Below are 16,268 nucleotides of genomic sequence, written 5' to 3' on the forward strand. Positions count from 1 at the left end.
GAGCTACTATGCCCAGCCAACAAATATTGATTGAATGCCTACTGTGTGCCAAACTGGTTTTGTAGAGGATAGAGAATAGACCTTTGATTTGGGCAAGATGGAGGGCACTGATAACCTTGATGAGAGTGGTATCTGTGGCGAGGTGAAGACGAAAGCCTGGCTGGAGTTGTTGAAAGAGAAAGTAGGAGATAAGGTGTAAGGACAGTAAAACAGGAAACCTGAGATTTGCTATAAAAGAAAACCAAAATACTGAGTGATAGCTGAAGGAAGCGTGGAGTCAGATGACTCAAAGTTTATTTTTTCAGGTGAGCACTATAACAGCATATATGTGGGCTAAAACAGACCCTCAGAGAAGCAGAAATTGATAATGCAAGAGAAGAAGACGGGAGTTTCAGAGCCAAGTCCCTAAAAAGATGAGAGAGAGTGGGATTCTGGGACAGCCTTTGGAAAGAGAGGAAAGGCAACATATGTGGACACAGGTAGGGCATGCTGAAAGATTTGAAGATAGGAAGATGAGGTATGTATCATCTGCTTTCATTCTTCAATGAAATATGGAGCTAGATCAATATCAGGGTTGATGTGTGTGTAGGACTCGGAAGTCTGAGACTGAAGAAAGAATGTGTGAAACCGCCACCTTAGGCAGCAGAAATCTAAGTTGATAAAGACAAGGGATGAGATGGCTGGGCAGTGCCACTTGCCAAAGTGAGAACTGTCTGCACGGCATGTGCCCTCTTGGTCACATTCAGCTGCTCAGGCGCCAGTCCACAGAAGGCAGAAAGCTGTATCTCACCAGTTTGCTTTTCCCTGCAGGCAGTTATAATGGAGGGGTAGGGAGGACAAGGGTCTAAAGCATAGACTCAGCTGGGCTTAGTGGCTCACACCTGTAATCCCAGCACTTTGGGAGGCCAAGGTGGAAGAATGGCTTGAGCCCAGGGAAACATGGCCAAACCCCATTTCTGCAAAAAATTTAAAAATTAGCCAGGCATGGTTGCATGCATCTGTAGTCACACCTACTCGGGAGGCTGAGGTAGGAGGATCACTTGAGCCTGGGAGTTCAAGGCTGTAGTAAGCCATGATCACACCATTGCACTCCAGCTCAAGAGACAGAGCAAGACCTTGTCTCAGAAGAAAGTAAATAAATAAAATAAAGCATAGACTCTACCCTGGAGAAGGACCCAGTGAAAATGATTGATGGAGAGCATTAAAGTCAATAAGTTGGAGGTCTTGCTTGGGTTGAAAATGTTGGGGTGGAGGGTACTGGAGTAAGTGACCTGCTGAAGGGGAGAGGAGCCGTGAGTGGGAAGTATGATTTAGCAGGTGGTGCAGTTCTTGGTGAAGATGAGGAGAGATCCTGGGAAGTGAAGACAACAAGGAGAAGTCAATGCGTTGTATGTATCATCGACATAGATGCTGGAGTTTCTCAGCATGATGCAGTAGTACCTATGGAGAGAAAAGCATGTCTCAAAGGCCATAATCTTCAAGAAATAAGGGGCAGGAATGGGGATATTAGTAGATGACAAGGAGAAGGAGGGGTGGCTGATGACAAAGCTGCTGGTATGCATGTCAAAGGAGCTGGGAGTTGGAAGGAAGATGGAGGCAAGAGTCAAGCAGGTCACAAGGAATGTGAGATATACTGTGAGTGTGAGAAGAAAGTCTGCATCCAAGAGAAACAGGGTGAAATTGGTGTCCACAGGAGAAAGGTAAGGCTTCAGTTACAGTAAGAAGCCAACTTAGTAGGTTATGAATCACTTTCGTGGGACATGACTGAGCTTTAAAAAAACTAAAAGAGAATGTATATAAAAGAACAGAAAATATAAGAGCATAATATTGGATGAGGTTTAGATAAAATTGTTTTGTAAAATTATTTTTTGTTTAGTGTGTGTGTGTGTGTGTGTGTGTGTGTGTGTGTGTGTACTGGATATAGACATAAAATCCATTTCTTATTGTGGGTTGGAGTGAGAAGAGTTTGAAAGCCACAGCATTAGGTGATTATAGGACCCTATGGCGACAAGAATCCCTATGGTGATGAATGGCCTGGGTGGCTTGGAAATGGGAAGAAAAGTGAGGCATGATGGGATTAATGCCATTGATCTAGTAAGGGAAACTGAGTCATAAAGCCCCAGGCTCTGGTGGCCTGGTGAGGAGGTGTCTTTCGTCTGTGTCCAGGTTTATGTGGCAGCCTTCGCAATTTATCCCTGATACAATAAGCAATATATTTTGGGTTTTGTCCCTGGTTCGTGGCACAGAGCTCCTAAAACTAAGAATTTCCTGAGTGACTTGGATGTCTTCTGTTATTCATGATAACCCTGCTTTGGATCACACCTGAGCTTATGCTAATGAGGTGAGTTAGGCTGCGGTCCCTAGGTAGCCTCAGAATTGAGCTGGTCACTGAAAAGATCAAGTGATTAGAGGGCTGGAACTTCCAGCCACACCCACCAAAGTGGTGGAAAGTGGTGGAGGGCAGCTGGAGCTTAAGTCCTATAAAATTTTTTGAACAATAAGGTTTAATGAACTTCCAGATACGTGAATGCTTGGAGGTGCCAGGAAGGTCGTGCACCTGGAGAAGGCCTGGAAGTTTTGTGCCCTTCCCACATCCTTTCCCTGAGCATCTCTTCCATGTGGCTTTTCACCTGTATTCTTTTTAAAGTCCTTTATAATCAATCAGTTAATGTGTTTCCCTCAGTGCTGTGAGCCCTCCTAGCAAATTAACTGAACCTGCGGAAGGTGTCCTGGGCACCCCAACTTATAGCCAGTCTGTCAGCAGCACAAGCCCAGTCTGGGACTTGCAGTTGGCATCTGAAGGGAGGACAGTCTTGTAGGACTGAGCCCTTTAACCTGTGGGATCTAATGCTACTTCCAGGTAGGCAGAGTCAGAATTGAATTGAATTATAGTATGCCCAGTTGGTGTCTGCTGGAGAATTGCTTGGGGTATGGGGAAAATGTCCCACATCTGGTGTCAGCAGGGTTCTGTGTGAGTGTAGAGAAATGAAGTGTGGTTTTCCTCAGACTAACCATTTTTCCAATCTATTAAATTCAAGTGTATTAATGCTAATTTTTTATGAACTAGTTAGGTATTTTAGCTTGACTAATCAGAACTCACTGTAAAAAGATCATGACCATGAATTCAATCCCTATAAATAATACATTTTTAAATGACACACCTCCATGTCTTTGCCTGAAACTCTTCTTTAAGCCACAAATGACCTCAGCTCCCTATTGGGTCATGATCACAAAGAGGACCAATCAGAACTTGTAGATGGTTCAGGGTGAATTCGTCTCCAATAATGAGGCTTAAAAAAATAGCATCACCTTTGAATATGGAAGCAGAACAGTGTGGAATTTCCTTCTGTCTTTTATGGAATGATCATAACCCCATTAGTGAGGCTTAAAGACTCCCAAGGGAAATATTGTAGAAGATGGAAAGTCTAATGAAAAGATTAGCTTCTGTCCCCTCTCCTGAGGTGCTCATCACTGTGAATAATAACTCACATTTAGGTATTCTCTTGATGCTCTCGAAGGGGCATTCACATAGAGAAATTCCTTAGGTTTTCTTTTCTTTTTTTGTTTTCTGAGACGGAGTTTTGCTCTGTCGCCCAGGATGGACTGCAGTGGCATGATCTCAGCTCACTGCAACCTCTGCCTCCCCAGTTCAAGTGATTCTCCTGCCTGTACCTCCCGAGTAGCTGGGACTACAGGCGTGCACCACCATGCCCAGCTAATTTTTTATATTTTTAGTACAGATGGAGTTTCACCATGTTGGTCAGGCTGGTCTCAAACTCCTGACCTCAGGTGATCCACCCACCTCAGCCTCCCAAAGTGCTGGGATTACAGGCGTGAGCCACCGCATCCGGCCTCCTTAGGTTTTCATGACCACACTCAGAGACAGGCTTCACAAAAGACTAGGGTGAGGCTCAGATAGAGTCTTCCCTCAGTCTGGCAGTCAATACCACTGTCATATGTCGTGTGTCATTTGTCACATGTGAGGCATCGTTCCAGGTAGTGGGAATATGGCAGTGGACAGAGAGAAATTCCTGCCGACTTCTCAGGACCTGCATTCTGGAGAACAGGGGGCTTGCCTCAGGCTCCCCAGCAAGCCTGCACTCACCAGACCCAAGTCCTGGTATCTGACTCCCATTATGGGGCTTCTGCCACCCAGCCTCCCTGGCCTTCTTGGGAAAAATGGACAACCAATCCTATGATTGCTTCTTTGACTTACACAGTACTTTCCCATCTAAGAAGATGTAAGAGAAAAAAACACATTTCTCTTTATGAGAATAAGCCCCCTGAGGTAGGGATTACGGATTAAAATCCTTGCAAAGTTTAAAAGTCATTTTCCATGGTGAGAAAATAAGAAAATTGAGATTTGATGACTCTCTTGCTTTGAGACTACTGTTTTAATCAATTTAATTTTGACTGTATTTGGATACAGCATGACATTTATGTGCATTTAGAGCACTTTACAATTCCTCTGTTTTCCTATGGCTTTGGTCCCAGATCACTTGCAAACTACCAACTGTGTGTTTCTGACTGACAATTACACACAGGGGCCACTGCAAAGACACAGAGAGGCAAGACAGATACAGACAGAGGACTCCAATCCCATGGTCACACTTTGCTATAATATTCTAAAGCAAAAATGTTTCCAGTGACTGTTAAACAAGCAACCCAGAACCAAGCAGTCTGTCGAGAACAAGGATTTATAGGTCTGCACTGAAGCTGGGCAGAGACCTGGGAAAGAGTATTAGACACGCCGACTCAGTTATGTTTTGGCCATTTTCTTCATCTGTGCTTAATTAGCACAAACTTTCTCAAAGGAGCTAAGGTTCACTAAGGCTTTTCATCGGGGGAGGGAGGATGAAGAAACTGGTGGAGGGAAGCCTAGCAGTGAATTGTTCCAACTATATCTCTGTTCAGTGTGGCAAATACATTCTTGAGGCAGGTGCTTGAACTCACAGGCTCTTTAGAGAAACATTTAGCAGCCCCAGGAATATATTGGTTGAGAAGAAGAAGAAAGGAGGGGCAGGGAAAACACACATCAGCTGCTAGGAGGGAAAAAGCTAATCGTAGAAACTTCTCTGCCAGAGAGAGGTGCAGCTGTCAAAGCAATAAGGTAAATGAGTCTCAGACTAAAATGGATTTTGCAGTAGAACTGTGTTCTCTGATAAATAGGGGAGATTGAACTCCAGCACCATCCCGCTATTCCTTGGTAATGCCCCATTTGGGCGCTGACTGGGTGGTCTTAAGCCCACTGCCACCCTGGCTAACACCGGCCACACCAATCAAGGCCCCGCAGCTGAGACCCTCAGTGACCTGCTTCAGGGGCCTTTTTCAAACTCCGATTCAATCATTTGTGTGGGATGCTTTTTTTGCTACTTTATTTATGGGATTACATAAATGAGCCATTAAAAATGTAAATCTTCAGAACAGTGGAATAATACAGATTTAAACAATAAGCTCGGGGCGGTACAGTACAGAAACCGCCCTGCCCCGGCACTATCACCCCATCGTGACTATGGCAACAATAGGGGGTTCAGGGAAGGACAGAGGGGAAAGAAATAAAACATCCCCGCATTGGGGCCGTCATTGGCACCAGAGAAAGATTAGGGTGTTTTTTTTAAAGGAGTATTAGAACAATAATGAAGATGTGCCATTATAACCAACAAAGGAGCTGGGGCATCCCACACAGTGCGGGTGTCAGACAATCAAGGGACCGCAGATTTGAGAAGTTTATCCCACCTCGTGGCAAAGTATTTAACCCTTTTGTGGCTTTTGCAGAAGCAAAAAAAAAAAAAGGAAAAAAAGAAAAAAGGAGAAGAGTTGGGGGTGGACTCCCTCCCATCTCCTCATCTAGCTGTGATAGTTTTAGGGTTATATTTTTTAAAAATAATCTGTTTCTGCCTGTGAATTCTATGGGTTCTTTTCATCTGGGTTAGTAAATTAGCCTGGGAAAATGCTGCTACCTTTCTGCACTGAGCAGTCCCCGGCTGGCAGGGAACAGGGACGATATGTGGTGGCCAGGGGATCTGACGATATGGTAGCCAAGGCAGGGGAGGAGGAGGTGGCAAGGGGCCTGCTGGAGAGAACCTGCGGAGGAACTTCATAGGCCCCTTGAGGTCCTCCTCCTGTGCCAGGCTGGGGATAGCTCAGACCATAAGAGCTGTGAAAGTCAGATTTGGAAGAGGAAGTCCACATTGCGGGAAGGTAGATTAGATTGGCAGAAAAAGACTGCCTGTAGTATTGATCACTAAAAGAAGTTAAGTGTTCCTGTTGGTAACATGCTAGGGGTGGGGAATGGGGCCACAAGTGGTTATAGAAATCTGCTTTAAAAGTAAGCAGATGGGCCGGGCGCGGTGGTCATGCCTGTAATCCCAGCACTTTTGGAGGCCGAGGCTGGTGGATCACCTGAAGTCAGGAACTTGAGACCAGCCTGGCCAACATGGCAAACCCCCGTCTCTACTAAAAATACCAAAATCAGCTGGGTAGGGTGGTGCATGCCTGTAATCCCAGCTACTGGGGAGGCTGAGACAGGGGAATCGCTTGAACCCGGCAGGCGTAGGTTGCAGTGAGCCAAGATCACACCACTGCACTCCAGCCTGGGAGACAGAGCGAGACTCCATCTCAAAAAAAAAAAAAAAAAAAAAGTAAGCAGATGAATACCCATGTACCTTGCAGCACTATCACAATAGCCAAGAGGTGAAGAAACCCCAGTGTCCATCAACAGAGGAATGAATAACAAAACACGGCATATGCATACAATGGAATATTAGCCTCAAGAGGGAAACAAATTCTAACAGATGATATGACGTGGATGAACTTTGAATACATTAGGTTCAGTAAAATAAGCCAGTCACAAAAGGACCAATACCATATAATTCCACTTTTATGTGGTACCTAGAGCAGTCAACTTCATAGAGACAGAAAACAGAATGATGGTTGCCAGGGGCTGGGAGCAGAGGAGAATGGGCAGTTATTGTTTAATGGGTGCAGAGTTTCAGTTTTGCAAATTGAAAAGAGTTCCAGAGATGCATGGTGGTGATGGTAGTAAAACGATGTGAATGCACTCAGTGCCACAAAACTGTACATTTAAAAATGGTGAAATGGTAAATTTTATGTCTATTTTACCCCAATTTTAAAAAAATAAATAATTGTTTAAAGAGAAGGCAGAGCGTACAAAGAAGCATGCCTGTAGTATTGATCACTAAAAGAATTAATTGTTCCTGTTGGTAACAGGTTAGGCCTTCGGCCCTCCGTGAGAAAGATCTGGGAAGTTGCAGGGCCTTCCCCTAAAGCCACAGTAAGTCAGTGTCTGAACTTTCCTCCAGTTAAGTCAAGTAGGTACCACAGGATTGCAAACTTGTGCTTAGCAGAGGAAGCCTTTGCATGAAGGAAGTCGAATATGGATCCTGACCTAACATGAGTGAAAGCAGAGCTTTTCTGTTGCATCAGACACTGGGGCTCTCCCTGCTCCCTTCCCTCAGCAAAGAGTCCTTCAAACTGTGATGGGCCCTGAGGCCCGTCTGTGGAGTCCTGTGTTGAAAATCCCTGCCCTCTGCTAAGGCCCTGCCTGCCTTGACCATGACCATGCAGCCCTGCTACCTAACAGTTCATTGCATTGGTGAGGATACCAAGGCATATGCAGCATGGTGGGGATTCGCCATACCTGGTGAGCAGCCTGCAGCCCATTCCAGGAGCTCTTCAGGAGAGACAGCTGGGATGTGGGAGTGAGGGTGGCCCCAGAAAGAACAGACTTGAATGTGAGCCCAGGTGAGACTCTCCCACCCTTGATGCCCAGCCCCCTTGTCTACAGGTAGTGCAATGACCTTTTGCACACTGTTTCCTCTTACAGTGACCTCATGAGTACCCACAGCCTGGGAAGTCCAGGTGAGTTGGGTTACAAACACAGCTGCCTCTGCTCAGTGGAGATCCAGCAGGTCTGCGCCTGTGTGTCCCGGTCTTGAGATGGTCTTTCTCCTGGGGCTGCTTGTCTTATTGCCTCTCTGGCTATACCCCCAGCCCCACAGATAACTTTTCCATCACCTTCTTTCATTTGCTTCTCCCCCCACCATGTTCCTGGAAACGTCTAGCTCCTAAAGAAATGGCTTTAGGCTTTACAAGGTATAATCATTTGCTTCCCACAGCTAATCTACACCAGGGAGAAAAGGCCCATTTCACAGCTCTTTTGGGAAATTGTGGGGAGAGAAAGCACAAACCAAATGAACTCCCAACTCACTGAAGGCTTCCAATCACAGAATTTTAGAACTCTAAACCCAGTAAAACCCTAAATCCTTCCCCCTTTTAACCACTATTCCTAATTTTGAGTATATTCTTCCATATTGACCATGTAAACAAATACACCCTGTAGTCAGGGTGGTTTGTTATTCCTAGATGAAAATGGAAGCCTAATCAATGTGTACTTCTGAATTGGCTTGACTATATAGAAGGTCATCCTCACTATTACCACCACAGTCCACATTCATGAAGCGACTGCTGTGAATCTCTGCTTTGCATGCATCATCTCCTTTTAGCCTTACAACACCTCCTTGGGGTCCATGATATTATTACCTCCACTTTCCATAAGAGGAGGCTAAGAACCACATAAAACTCTAAAACTCTTAAGAGCTACGTCTTCTCTTTCTACCCTGTGCCTCTTCCCACTTGGTGCTTAGCTCTGGGTTTGGCAGTTGTACATGCTTGGGAATGATTGTTTTCATGGCGTAGTCTATTTATTTACTTGGATCTTCTTGAATGTCTCTCAACATTTCTTCTTTCTTTTTTTTAAAGAGTCAGGGTCTCACTGTCACCCAGGCTGGAGTGCAGTAGTGCAATCATTGCTCATGGTAGCCTCAAACTCCTGGGCTCAAGTCATTCTCCTGTATCAGCCCCAGAGTAACCGGAACTACAGGTATGCACCACCACACCCAGCTAATTTTTTATTTTTTGTCTAGCTATGTTGTCCAGGCTGGTCTTGAATTCCTGGCCTCAAGTGATCTGCCTGCCTCAACCTCCTAAAGTGCTGGGATTACAGACATGAGCCACCACGCCCAGTCCATTTATTTCAGCAATCTGAAATTACATGAGTGATAGATGCTCACTGTCACGATTCAAACAGTGCATAGAAGTGCTAAAGTGGAATTAATAATCTTACCCTACCCCCTTTTAATCACTATCACCAACTTGGAGCATATTCTTCCATATTTTTCTATACAAACACATACACCTGGAGATAGACTTGTTCATTATTCTTAGATGAATGGAATCCTATCTATAATTCTGTAATTTCAGTTTTTCACTTAAACAATGTATAATATGAATATCCCTCAAGGTCGATTCATATACAAGTGTTTCCTTCATTCTTCTTAATAGCAGCAAAATATCACATAATATGAATGAACTGTAAATATCCCATTGGTAACTGACTCACATTGGATTCCCTTTTGGCTATCACAAGCCATGATGCACTCTATACATTTATTTCTGACACACATATTTCTAGAAATGGGATTTCTGTTTCAGAAGTCAGACCCATTTTAAACTTTAATAAATATTTAACAAATATTGGCAGCTTACTTTTCAAAAAGGATATAGTAACTTATAGTCTGATCCTGTAGAGAATACTCATTCCTTCACTGCTACCAGCCCTGTATGGTATCAGTCATTTTTGATAAGCAAATGGGCAAAAACTAGAATCTTATTATTGCTTTAATTTGCATTTCTCTGATTGCTATGAGATTGAGCACCTTTTTATTTTGGGATCTCTGGTCCCTGCCTGCCACCTGTGACCGCCAGGTTCCCACGAGTGTGTAAAGGCTGTGATCTGTGGGTCAAGCTCAGAACAGGAACCTAGGAACATCTAAGAATCATCCGCGAATATGAAAACGAATTTGGAGCATTTCCCTCCTTATGGCCCTCCAGGAGGAAGAGGTTATGACTGTCTGCTAGACGGGGTTCTCAACATTTGCTATATGTTGGAATCATCTGCAGAGGATTAAAAAATATTGTGTCCTGGGCCCAGCTTCTGGAGCTTCTGATTTCATTGGCCTAGAGTGCAACTGAGTATCAGGAGTTGGTGGAGACTCTGCCAGGTGATGTTTATGTGCTTCCAGAGTTGAAAATCACTGTTCTCAACATAATGTAGATGAGTAAGAATTTTCAAAATGTATAGAATCTTCTGATCTTATATGTCACAGCCACTGACCTGTCAGAGTATAGGACAGTTGGGAACAGAAGAGCAAAGGACTAGAGAAAGTTTGAAGAGTAGGGAAAACCATGTATTTTTCTGATTCCAGCAGGAAATGGAGAGATATTAGACAATACCTTTCTATTATAGCAGGTGGCACTAGAAATACGTGGGTGCACATCTGTTATGTCCACAGACAATCTCACTGGGGATAAGAGGTGGCCGTGTGGCTGCTGGAAGGATCCCAGCGAGTTTGCAACAGTGGTTGTTGCCAGATGCACACACTCATCCATTCAACAACTAGTTTTTGAGTGACCACTGTCTTCTTGTCATTTGCTCAGCCCTGGCTACACAGCAGAGAATAGGCCAGGCAGCGTTCCCTCACCAAGCTTACCTTCTAGTGAGAGAAATGGAGATTACACAAGTAATGACCCAAGCTGTTATTTAAGTTACAATGCCCATAAGCGCTATGAAAGGAAGTGTGAAAATTGATTACAGAGTCCATTTCTACACTTCTTCGAGCTCCTGTCTAGCCCTCCATCCCATAATCTCAACCCATCCTGAGCACAGAATAGGACTAGTTAAGTGGCATTGAATTCACAGAGTCAAATTCTTGTTAGTTGAAGTGAATTTACAAATGAGAATTAGGCTCAAATAGGTGGATCCCTTATTGCTTCCCCAGTGCTCAAGCTGGGATAGAGGGCTTTTGGTGCCACGATATGAAGAGTGTGTAGAAGTGATATCGTCTGCTAGAGTCCTGCAGAGTAGGGCTGATATAGCTGGGCTAACCAAGTGAACTTAAACTAACAAAACAACACATTCACAAGTTGGGAATAATATTACTTATGGCCGCTATATACTTACTGAGGAGGTTCTGAGTAGAGAAATGTAGGGTGTGGGTGGGGGTGGAAAGGTGGGGGCATGGGAGGATAGGATCTATGAGAGAGGGAAGCACTAACTGAGAGGCAAGTCTGCATCAGGAAAAAGAAAAACACTCCAGCTCCACACTGTGAGCTGGTCTTCCCTCTTGCCTGGCTGCCGGCCTTGGCAATATTCCCAATGCGTTCCTGAGGCTTCGCCAGTGTGTCAGAAGTATAGTCCTTCCCAAGGCTCTTCCCTAAGGCCTCATCAGAACGAGGCCTTTATACCACAGAGGACACACACACCACACAGACTGGACATCTCAGAGGGCCCATGGCATGTTTTCAAGTTGCGGAGAGCAAAAGAGAGGCCATAGTTAGGACTGATCATAGTTCATCCTCAATCGTGTCAATGAGTGCAGGTAAGCCAGGCTGTAGAAAAACCAAAGAGAGTTTCTACTTGGTTTGAAATGGATTTTTTTCCTTATTAGACATATAATGGTGGATTGGGAGTCATTTAAGGGCAGAGACTGATTAATTTTTTTATTCTATTAACAAAGTAACTTGCTTCTAATAGGAATGCAGCAAATCTTTGCTTTATGCTTTTGCAACTTGCTTTCAACCACCTGGAGTACTTCCTTCTTTCATTCCTGTCCTCTCTTCCTCTTCAACGATCCAAATTCCACATGGCATCCTCCTCCAGTTTTAGCTGAGTAAGGTTCTTCCTCTCCTCACTCAGGCACTCTGTCTATCTTGACCACACTCTATTCTGGCTGGTGCCCTGTCGCTGGGGCAGGTCTCATTTTGTTGTCTCCCCATGGCAGTGCCTGCTCTGGGAATCTCTGGGCTATTTTTTATCTTTTGGCCCCAGTGCCCAGCACTGTGCTACACTGAAACAGTCTTTATATTTCTGATAAGTGAATGGATAAATGAATAAATGAATGAATGAATGAATGAATAAAGTAATAGCTGTTATGTGTGCATAGTGAAAAACTAATTTAAGAGTCCCATTGGTTCTTAAGCAAATAAGTTGTTGGAAAGTTTACTTTTATTAGTGTTACCCATCCCATTTTGGCATCATATGAATTTTGAATATATTAATAGATAAAATTACCAGAATAATGCAAAATAACTTGCACTTTATGATACTTACCTTGTGCCAAACTCATTTCTAAGCACTTAAGATATAGAATAGTTTCAGCCGGGCACGGTGGCTCACGTCTGTAATCCCAGCACTTTGGGAGGCTGTGGCAGGCGGATCAGAGGTCAGGAGATTGAGACCATCCTGGCTAACAAAGTGAAACCCCATCTCTACTAAAAATACAAAAAACTAGCTGGGCATGGTGGCGGGTGCCTGTAGTCCCAGCTACTCGGGAGGCTGAGGCAAGAGGATGGCGTGAACCCAGGAGGCAGAGCTTGCAGTGAGCCAAGATCGTGCTGCTGCACTCCAGCCTGGGAGACAGAGTGAGACTCCGTCTCAAAAAAAAAAAAAAAGATATAGAATAGTTTCTACTGTAGACTTTATCCCTGACTTACTGTAGTCTAGATACATTGTATGTGTATATACTCACACACACACACACACACACACACACACACTTTCTCTGATGAGTGGAATCTTCATCATTCATTGTTGCTTAGCTATATAATATACCTTATCCATTTCTTACACAAATCGAAACCATTATGTGAATTTAGGAACATAAATTTGCCTTCCTAAAATTATAGCTTGTGTTGCTATCATCATTTTTCTATAAAATAGATAACTTCAAAAGAGTGAGAAAACAAATGCCATGGATTCCAGAGGAAGATCATTTCCATTGCAATTGGTCCTACTAATGCTGCTTTTCAACCCTGTTTTCTACAAACTGGGGCTACGAAGGGAGGCTAGAATAACTTGTCCTAACTTTGTGACTCAAGACAAATGTTTTAATTTTATAAGCATGTTTTTACATGTTGAGAGAAACTGAAATTTACAGATTATGAAAATCATCCTTTTAGGTCCTTTTTATTTTCAGGTTAGGGGAGTATGTTGAAGGGACATTGAATTCATAGAGTGAAATTCATGTTAGCTGAAGTAAATTTACAAATTGAGAATTAGGTGCAAATAGTTTAATTTCCTGTTACTTCTCTAATTCTCAAGCTGGGATAGAAGGCTTTTAGAGATATGATATAAAAAAGTGTGTAGAAGGGTATCTTCTGCCAGAGTTTAGGGAATCTGATGATGATGATGGAGATGATGGTAAGGAGGAGGAGGAGGACGATGACCAAGGAGGAGGAGAGGGAGGAGCAGGAGCAGGAGGAAAAGCACCATCAATGCATCAATGGTGCTGCTCCTTCATAGGGATGTTAGTCATGCGTCCCCACTGCACTGCATCTATGGGTTAACGTGGTGACTAAACGTCAATTTTTTAAGTACTCTCAATATTGTAAAACTGCAGCGTATCCTGAAAGGCCTGCCATTTTGTCTTTTGTCCCGAATCAGGCATCTTCACCTGGGCAATGCCCTGCAGTCTTGTTCACCTTTCTGGGCCCTGGCACTTGGCAGGCAAAACAAGAACGCAGAGCTGTCATTTTAAAGACTTTAGCAGGAGGGTTCTGCCCAGAATTTCACTGCTGCTTTCCCAGTGAGCGGCTTGGATTGATGCTTTTTGTTGTTTATCCAAAAAAAAAAAAAAAAAAATGAATCAACAAAACCCGGCGACAACATTGCCTCTTCTTGTGTTCTGTCACTATTTTGAGGTAATCAGCATGTTTAAAGTTAACATCAATTCGTCTTCTATATTTTGCCTTCTTAAGAAAAAAGAACTAAAGCCTACTAACTAGTTTAAAAGAGATGACACAAAGAAAGCAGGCTTTTTCCTCCTCATGAACTGTGTATATAATTACTTGAATAATGTTGAATTTCACCCATATGCCGGGGAAGGGAAAAAAACAGCAAAAATAACTACTGTGAATTCAAACCGCAAATGAATGGAACTGGCCTCATTCATAAATGTCATATGAAGCTTTGGTTTAAAAGGCAAGTCTGTCATTCCAGGGACAGCAGCTGTTGTTATGTTGAACAAAATGGATACAAATGGGTATTATTTTAAAGTGAAATGCTTAATTTCAGGCCTAACAAGCACACTGTCCTCTGTGTAGCCCCGTGTCACACAAGCCATGATCTCCAGTAGAGGGCTTGATTGCACAGGAAATCAAGCTCCCGGGCTGTGGCTGACCGGACCAGCGAACACACTGGCAATGTTTGAGTTACTATGGCAATCACAAAATAGGAAGGCCTTTTCTTCTTTTCCCCATCTCTGCATGCAGCCGCAGCCTGCTCCTGAATAGGCCACATCTGCAAAAAGTTTTAACACGGTACTCAGATAAAGAAAAGGATCCCAAAAATGGGCACTGACCCGTCTCAAAAAATGTTGCAAATTTTACATACAAGAATTGGGGAGCTGGGCCACTTTGCACAGGTTATGTCATAATGCAAACACAAAGGGATAAAAGCGCATGGAGGCTTTGGCTGTCAGATATTGAGAGGAGGGAATGGCAGAAGTAAATGACAGCTTAAATGCAGATGTAAGGAGAAAAGTCAAAGATGGGTGACAGAAAGTTACTGGTCAATGAATAAGGGAGAAATTTCAGACACACACACAAAAAACAGACAAAAGGGTAAAATACAATAAAATCTATCTATAGAGATTTACTGAGAAAACCCCCCAAAGCATATTTAGCAAATCTTAGAACTATGAAACCCTGTGAAACCAACACATGGCTCTTTAGACAGGGCCTTTGTGGACTTTCTGTGTCCCACCACTGTTTCCTCGCAACTTACGGACGGGAGAGGATGTTTTCAAACAATGGAGGAGCCTCCCCGGGAACTCATATTTTAGACACAGCTTGGAAAAATGGATGTTTGCTGATGAAAAAAATATATGTAAAGACAGGTAGAGATGACCCTTGGAGACAGGCCTTTCCTGGAATGGAGACACTGGCTCGCAGCAATTCATAAGGAGTTATTTGGGGCTGACACCCCTTCCCCCACCCTATTCTCTTGCCCCCACATTTCTTTAAAATGTGTTACTTAGTCAGATTTTGTTTGTTTCCTCCTCTCTCCCAAGTCGGAAGGTGATTCAGCAGATTTCTGGAATGGAGCTGCCTGCCCATGCTCTTGGCATCTTTAGGTTGCAGAAGGACAGGCCTCCTTCCCGCTCTGTTCCACCCCTCACCCCCTCCACTGAGCTTAGGGCCGAGTGACCAGGCATCTGTCTTGAAAAACCCAAGTGTCAAGAAGAAGCAAAAATACTGAAATTAATCTTCACTGCTTTTAACTTAAAGAGCTATTCACGGTGTGAAAGCAGTTGGAAAAGACTTGGGTGGGCAGTGAACTAAGAAGTCACCATTTGCAAGAGTTGAAACTCAGAGGGAAGAATACTTTTAAGTAGCATGAACTCGCCACAAAAAGTCGCAGTGCTCAAAGGCGTCCAGAGTCCAGTAAAACTGACACTACATTTCACATTCATTGACTCTTGTTCTTTTGGGGGAGTTTTCGTATGAAGAGAAAGAGACAATGGAAGACAATAGTGCTACCTTATCAAAGTTCATTCATGCAGCTATTTCAAATACTTTTAACTGCTTGTCAATAGGTCTCGCAAGTCCCTGAGATTCTAAACGTTCTGTCACGTTTGTGTACTAACCACTTAAAGTTCTGCTGAAGCTTTGTGCCCCGGACTGCCTCCCCTTTATGTGGGTCAAAATGCAAGGCAAAGCCATTGTGTTAACCGGCCTCCATTAAATTCATTGATTTGACCTGTATTTTAAAGACCAAAAGTCAAACGGAATGGGAAGTTAAAGTTCCCATACAAAATCTTCCCGTGGGCACTTTTCGGCTTCCTTGAACTATCTGGTGTGTAGGCAAAGGACGTTTTAGGGCTGTTTGAAGTCTGGCTTGCTGCCCCACAGCATTTTTGCTTACATCGTATTTTTGGAGAAAAGTTTGGGTTTGTTCTTAATTTTATGCAAGGATGAAACAACGCTAAAGTTGAAGGAAGTCTGTTATCTTGAATTTGATTTTCTTCCCAAGGAAGTGGTTTTGCTCACCTTCTTCAGCAGCTTGACAAAGCTACAGCTGAGGCTGGTCCTGTTGCCCTAAGCTGGGCTCTCTGTCCTTGCTCAGAACTTCCTGATCGTGAATTGTCGTTTTTTCAGTCAGTATGCACCTTTGGACTTGAGGTGAGCTT

General features: G+C 43.6%; 1 annotated feature.

Moving 5' to 3' along the window:
• Positions 14,320-15,519: an enhancer, noted in NCBI's record as "MED14-independent group 3 enhancer chr13:28302713-28303912 (GRCh37/hg19 assembly coordinates)". NCBI's record gives its function as "activates an origin of replication core promoter dependent on BRD2, BRD4, P300/CBP and CDK7 cofactors, and independent of MED14, by STARR-seq in HCT116 cells {active_cell/tissue: HCT116}" and the evidence as "EXISTENCE:reporter gene assay evidence [ECO:0000049][PMID:35650434]".

The sequence above is a fragment of the Homo sapiens genome, chromosome 13 (genome assembly GCF_000001405.40).
Source record: "Homo sapiens chromosome 13, GRCh38.p14 Primary Assembly".
NCBI classification, from domain to species: domain Eukaryota; kingdom Metazoa; phylum Chordata; class Mammalia; order Primates; family Hominidae; genus Homo; species Homo sapiens.